Source organism: Homo sapiens, chromosome 1, assembly GCF_000001405.40.
Source record: "Homo sapiens chromosome 1, GRCh38.p14 Primary Assembly".
NCBI lineage: Eukaryota > Metazoa > Chordata > Mammalia > Primates > Hominidae > Homo > Homo sapiens.
The window spans coordinates 39,976,437-39,983,203 of record NC_000001.11 but is presented as its reverse complement, the minus strand read 5'-3'; the positions used below and the strand labels follow the sequence as shown (position 1 = coordinate 39,983,203).

At 43.9% G+C, this 6,767-nt stretch overlaps 1 annotated feature.

Moving 5' to 3' along the window:
- Positions 1,978–2,831: an enhancer, noted in NCBI's record as "H3K27ac-H3K4me1 hESC enhancer chr1:40446045-40446898 (GRCh37/hg19 assembly coordinates)". NCBI's record gives its function as "activates a minimal SCP1, AML or CMV promoter by ChIP-STARR-seq in primed H9 embryonic stem cells {active_cell/tissue: H9 hESC(primed)}" and the evidence as "EXISTENCE:reporter gene assay evidence [ECO:0000049][PMID:30033119]".

Genomic DNA, 6,767 nt, shown 5'->3' with positions numbered 1-6,767 from the left:
ATCGCACCATTGCACTACAGCTTAGGCGACAGAGCAAGACTCTGTCTCAAAAAAAAAAAAAAAAAAAAAATAGAGTCCAAAAATGGACCTACACATATAGGTTCTTTTGATTTATGCCACTGTAATCAAGTAGGGGAGGGACGTCCTTTTAATAAAAGGTGCTGGAATAATTGGATAAGTACAGAGAAAAATAAACTCTGACCCTTAACTCACACTATACACAAAAATTAATTTGAGTGGATCATAGACCTAAATAAAAAAAGTATAAAACAACAATAAAACAACTTCTAAATAAAAACATAAGATAATTTTTTTGATATTGGGGTAAGTAAAGATTTCTTTTTTTTTTTTTTTTTTTGAGACGGAGTCTCACTCTGTTGTCAGGCTGGAGTACAGTGGTGCGATCTCCGCTCACTGCAACCTCCGCCTCCCAGGTTCAAACAATTCTCCTGCCTCAGCCTCCCGAGTTGCTGGGATTACAGGCATGCACCACCATACCCGGCTAATTTTTGTATTTTTAGTAGAGACGGGGTTTTACCATGTTAGCCAGGCTGGTCTCGAACTCCTGACCTCAGGTGATCCAGCCGCCTTGGCCTCCCCAAAGTGCTGGGATTACAGACGTGAGCCACCGCGCCCAGCCTCCTGAATGTAAATTATATCTCAATAAAACATTGAAAAGTAAGGAGTTTTTTGTTTATTTTTAATTACAAAAGCAAAATAAATGCTTGGTCTTTATAGACTACTAAAACAAGTATAACTAGAAGAATGACAGGCCTTGATCTCATTTCTAGGGACAAGATCTGTCTTCAAATTTATGCAGGTCTTCCATGGGACAAAGAGAAGGGTTGTATTGTGCAGATGCCAAAGAGAGGATCTAGAATCTGTGGGGACAAGCCACAAGGAGATAGCTTTCAAGATGAAGGAAACCTTTTTTTATGCCCTTCTCCACAAATGAAACAGGCTGCCTTGAGCCAAAATGAGCTGGCTGCCAAAGGCATGAGCAAGCAGAAGGCAGCCACAGGCATCCACGCATCAGGTGGGGTTGGATTAGACAGCCTAGGTCTCGTCCTCTGCCTCTGCTACTCCTTTAAGGAACAGCAAGGAGTAGAACAGCCCCTCCCACACTATGAGTTGTCCCTTTGTGTTAACAGAAATGGCCAAACCCATCTGCTGAAAGCCATAGATTGCTGGAGGACTAGCTCTGGAGTCTGAGCCCTGATGGCAGTGAAAAGGGAGGGAAGGACACAGGACAAAAGTCTTGGTTCTTAAGAAACGGACAGGCCAGGAGGTGGTTCACATCTGTAATCTCAGTACTTTGGGAGGCCAAGGAGGGAGGGTCACTTGAGCTCAGCAGTTAAGACCAACTTGGACAACATAGGGAGACCCTGTCTCTACAAAAAATAAAATAATTAGCTGGGCAAGGTGGCACGCCTCTAGTCCCAGCTACTCAGGATGCTGAGGCAGGAGGATTTGTTGAGCACAGGATTTCGAGGTTGCAGTGAGCCATGGTCACACTACTGTACTCCAGCTTAGGGGACAGAGTGAGACCTTGAAAAAAAAAAAGAGAGAAAGAAAAGAAAAAGGAAGAAAGGAAGAAGAAAGGGAGAAAGGGAGAAAGAACGAGAGAAAGGAAATAAAGAAAGAAAGAAAAGAAGGAACTGATAAATTTGGTGGGAAAAAATGGCCAGGCGCGGTGCCTCACACCTATAATCCCAGCACTTTGGGAGGCCGAGACAGGCAGATCACCTGAGGTCAGGAGTTCAAAACCAGTCTGACCAACAATGACGAAACCCCGTCTCTACGAAAAATACAAAAATTAGCCGGGCGTGATGGCGCACATCCCAGCTACTTGGGAGGCTGAGGCAGGAGAATTGCTTGAACCCAGGAGGCGGAGGTTGCAGTGAGCCGAGATCGTACCATTGCACTCCAGCCTGGGCAACAGAGTGAGACTCTGTCTCAAAAAAAAAAAAAAATTGGTTGGAAAACAAAAATAACTCTGAGCTAGGAGTGAGACAGATTCTCTCCTTCTGCCTGTGGCTGGCTGTGTGACCTTGTGCAACTTCCTTGTCCTCTCTGAGCCTGGAGTCTAGGCTGGGTAGTTCTTGGGCCTTCTCTGGTACTGACATCCTTTGAGGCCACACGGATGGCCACCTGGGCCAGATGGGAGTCACTGAAGGGGAAGGTACTGGGAGAGTGACTGCGGTGACTGTAGTGGCAGACAGGAGAAAGAGAGACTTTAGGACTCATTCCCCATCTCTTATGAAACACAGTAAGGGCAAACAGTCCTGCCCTTTCCTATTTCTCTGACCCTCAGTAGCCCTAGGACATCCCAGCTTCCTCCTACGCCACCCAGGCCCCCTTGGATCACCTTGGGGCAGGAATCCAGTCCACTCAACCCAGGCTAATTTAACAGGATTTCTACCAGACAAAGGGCAATTTCCTGGATGGTGAGCAGGCAGGGCTGGGCCTCTTTAGGGCTTGGGCCTCACCCCAGAAAGAGCCTTAAGCCACAGCAATCAGGGACTTCCTTGATTGCCTTGGAGATATAAGCCCCACGCAACCCTGCCCAGCTGCCCTGGAGGGAAAAAGGTAGGCTCTAGATCTTATCCAACACACCCAGTCCTAAACCTTCTCTGACTGCTACCTCCTGTCACTTTCTTCTCCTCTCTTCCCTGCCTCCATTCTTTTCAACATATTTATGACTCCACTTTGTGCTAGGCATTGTGTTAGATCCTGGATATACAAAGACTTGTGATCCAAGGTGGGTCCTGCCCTAGGAACTCAAAGACTAGAAGAGACATAGACATGTACAGTTGGTTCTTATGACTTGTATTATATTCCATACAGTCACCATGAACACTGAATTAGCAAATACTAGACCATTGTTCCTAGGGGAAATGGGAAATACAAAATTAGGTTCCTGAGAGCCTCTGATCATAATACTTTTTTTTTTTTTTTGAGATGGAGTCTCGCTCTGTTGCCCAGGCTAGAGTACAGTGATGATATGGCTCCGATGAGTGAAAAAACACCAGGGCTCTTGGTCCTCATGCCAGTTTAGATAAAATGACACGGACACACATGGAGTGGTTTTAAGGAACGGAGGGTTTAATAGGCAAGAAGGAAGGGAGAAGAAAGAAGGCAGAAGCTCTCTTGTACAGAGACGGAGGGAGGGGGGCTCCAAAGCCAAGAGAGGAGATCTCACGTGCCATGGATACTAACAAGGTATATGAAGAGGCTGGAGGAGGCGGTGTTTGATTTGCATAGGGCTCAGGGGATTAGTTTGACCAGGCATGTCATTCATGTAGCCCACAAAAAAAACTGGCCCTCCCACCCTAGCCTTTTAATATGCAAATACAGGGCACCATGATGTTCTACACACATGGAGATATGTGGGGGTGGCTATTTTGCCAGGCATATATGGGGCAAGGGCAAGAAGAAGAGGGCAGGAATCCCCATGTTTGGGTGGACCCAACTTCTAATGGCCTGCATTTGCGTATGAAAGGTTGCTGCCCAGGTCTAAGAGCCAGGGCTTTCATGCTAGACAAGAAATGTTTTTGGAGCTGCTTTGAAAATGAAAACTCTCCCAGGACCCCTTTTCCACTCTATCTGCCTAAAATAGCTTTTTTTTTTTTTTTTTTGAGACAGAGTTTTGCTCTTGCCCAGGCTGGAGTGCTATAGCACTATCTTGGCTCACCGCAACCTCCACCTCCCAGGTTCAAGCGATTCTCCTGCCTCAGCCTTCCCAAGTAGCTGGGATTACAGGCATGTGCCACCAAGTCTGGCTAATTTTGTATTTTTAGTAGAGATGGGGTTTCTCCATGTGGGTCAGGCTGGTCTCAAACTCCCGACCTCAGGTGATCCGCCTACCTCGGCCTCCCAAAATGCTGGGATTACAGGCGTGAGCCATCGCACCCGGCCTAAAATAACTTCTTAATAACTCCTACCACAGTGATGCAATCTTGGCTTACTGCAACCTCCACCTCCCAGGTTCAAGCGATACTCCTGCCTCAGCCTCCTGAGTAGTTGTTATTACAGGTGCATGCCACCGCGCCTGGCTTAAATTTTGTATTTTTAGTAGATATGGGGTTTCGCCATGTTGGCCGGGCTAGTCTCAAGCCTGTGACCTCAATTGATCTGCCCGCCTTGGCCTCCCAAAGTGCTGGGATTACAGGCATGAGCCATCGCACCTGGTCTGATCACAACACTTTTATTAAATGATCAATACATAACCATGTTTTACATGTGCTTCTATTTAAAGACACCTTATTTAATTGGTATTGTTGATTCATTGACATTGAACTCATTACAACTCATGCCTGAATGAAGCTTGTCTAACATATGTATTTTCTCTGTAAGGCACATCACGGCTGTCTTAGTCTATTTTCTGTTGCAATAACAGAATACCTGAGACTGGATAATTTATCAAGAAAAGAAATTTCTTTCTTACAGTTCTAGAGGCTGCGAAGTCCAGGAGCATGGTGTCAGCATCTAGTGAGGGCCTTCTTGCTACATCATAACATGGTGGAGGACAACACATGCAAAAGTGTTAGGTCAGGTCGCTCTTCCCCTCCTTGTAAAACCACCAGTCCCATCATAGAGGTCCCATCCTGATTATCTTATCTAATCCCAATTACCTCCTAAAGGCCCCATCTCCAATCAACATACAAATTTGGAGATTAAATTTCCAACATGTGAAATTTGGGGGACACATTCAAACCACAGCGACAGCCTTCTTGTGCTTAGAAACACTAGACAACACTTCAGCACTCTGTTTGGGGCAAGAAAAAGTATGAAAATGAAAAAACATGGCACTAAATAAACAACACCAAGTGAAAAAAAAGAAGGGCATCACTTTGCTCAGCCTCAGCTGGGAACATGCACATTAGACAACTTGAAATTTTTGCCACTCTGTGCATATCCATGAATGACCGTGAGTATTAATATGGGAGTTGGGAGTTAAGCTATGAGTACACAAAGGCATAAGAATAATCCAATGGACTTTGGAGACTCATGGGAAAGGGTGGGAGAGGAGTGAGGGATAAAAGCTACACATTGGATACTGTGTACACTGCTTGGATGATGGGTGCACAAAAATCTCAGAAATCACCACTAAAGAAATTATTCATGCAATCAAACACCATCTGTTCCCCAAAAACCTACTGAAATAAATAAAATAAAATAAAATAAATTAAAATAAAAGTTCAGGCCAGGCATGGTGGCTCATGCCTATAGTCCCAGCACTTTGGGAGGCTGAGGTGGGTGGATAACTTGAGGTCAGGAGTTCAAGACCAGCCTGGCCAATACAGTGAAACCCCGTCTCTACTAAAAACACAAAAATTATCCAGGCATGGTGGCAGGTGCCTGTAATCCCAGCTACTCGGGAGACTGAGGCAGAAGAATCGCTTGAACCCGGCAGGTGGAGGCTGCAGTGAGCTGAGATCACGCCACTGCACTCCAGCCTGGGTGACAGAGCAAGACTCCATCTCAAAAAAAAAAAAAAAAAAGTTCATAATAAAAAAATTAATTGTATTTCTATACACTAGCAATGAAAAAAATATGGGGGTCACAAATAAATGTTAGCAAGTAGACAAATTCATAAATATGGAATCTGTGAATAATGAAGGTTAACTGTGTTCTGCTCTAGGAGATCCTGGAGGAATCTTTGACTCAGGTTGGAAGCATCAAGAAAGACTCCCAAAGAGATAATACTTTAGCTATGTCCTGAAATACAGGGAGGTCCATGCAGGTGGCCCATGACCAAAAACTAAGTTATGTGGTTTGACAAAGAATTATTTCATTCTTATTCAGAAGCATTTTGTTGTTCTCATAAATGAGGTCACCTCTTTCACTGTATCTTCTAAGTCAACACTGAACAATAGAACTTTCTGCAATGATTGAAATGTTCTGATACAGCATATTCTATAATACAGTAACCAACAGTCACATGTGGTAATGAGACCTTAAAATGTGATTAGCGTGATTGAGGAATTGATTTTTAAATTTATTTGATTTCAATTATGTGGGATATGATGAGGTTTCTCTTCAAATAGCCTGATCAATCCTTTATTCTTTAATTTATAGTACCCCCCTACCCACCCCTTTTTTCTTTTTCTTTTTTTTTCTTCCTTTCTGCTTTTGTTACATGCCCAGACACGCCACAGTACCAGGCGTTATCAGTACCAGCTCACATTCCTTTCCTTATTTGGAAAGAAGACTAGCTCTCTCGCTTATTGCAGATACCCCTCTCCCTTTCCCCTCTCTCCCTTACATGCCCACCTTATGTAAAAAAAGTTCAAATGTTTAGCCAACCAGGATTAGTTTAGAGTGTACGACCCGATCCCAGCCAATGGGAAAAGGGTACAGGGGCAGGACTTGCGTCAGGAATAAAGGCTCTTGTGCTCCATTGTTCAGGTGTGCTCTCATGGCGACTGGCCAAGGAGAAGCACCCCTCTGCGCAGAAGTAAAATTGCTTTGCTAAGAATCCTGTGTTTGAGTGTTCAATTTCCTTAGGATTTTGAACATTATTCCCAACAATTCGTTTTAAATTTAAAATTAAATAGGCAATGTGGTGTGGTTATTACATTGAACAATGCAATTTAGCTTAATGCAGTTTGTATATATGAAGGGGATTGATTTTTGTGTAATAATTTTATACCCTTTTTCCTTACTGAGACTTCTCATCGTTTATAGTAGTTTTTCAGTTGATTCACTTGGGTTCTCTTGGAATACAAACATGTCATTGACAAATAAAGATAATTTTACCAGGC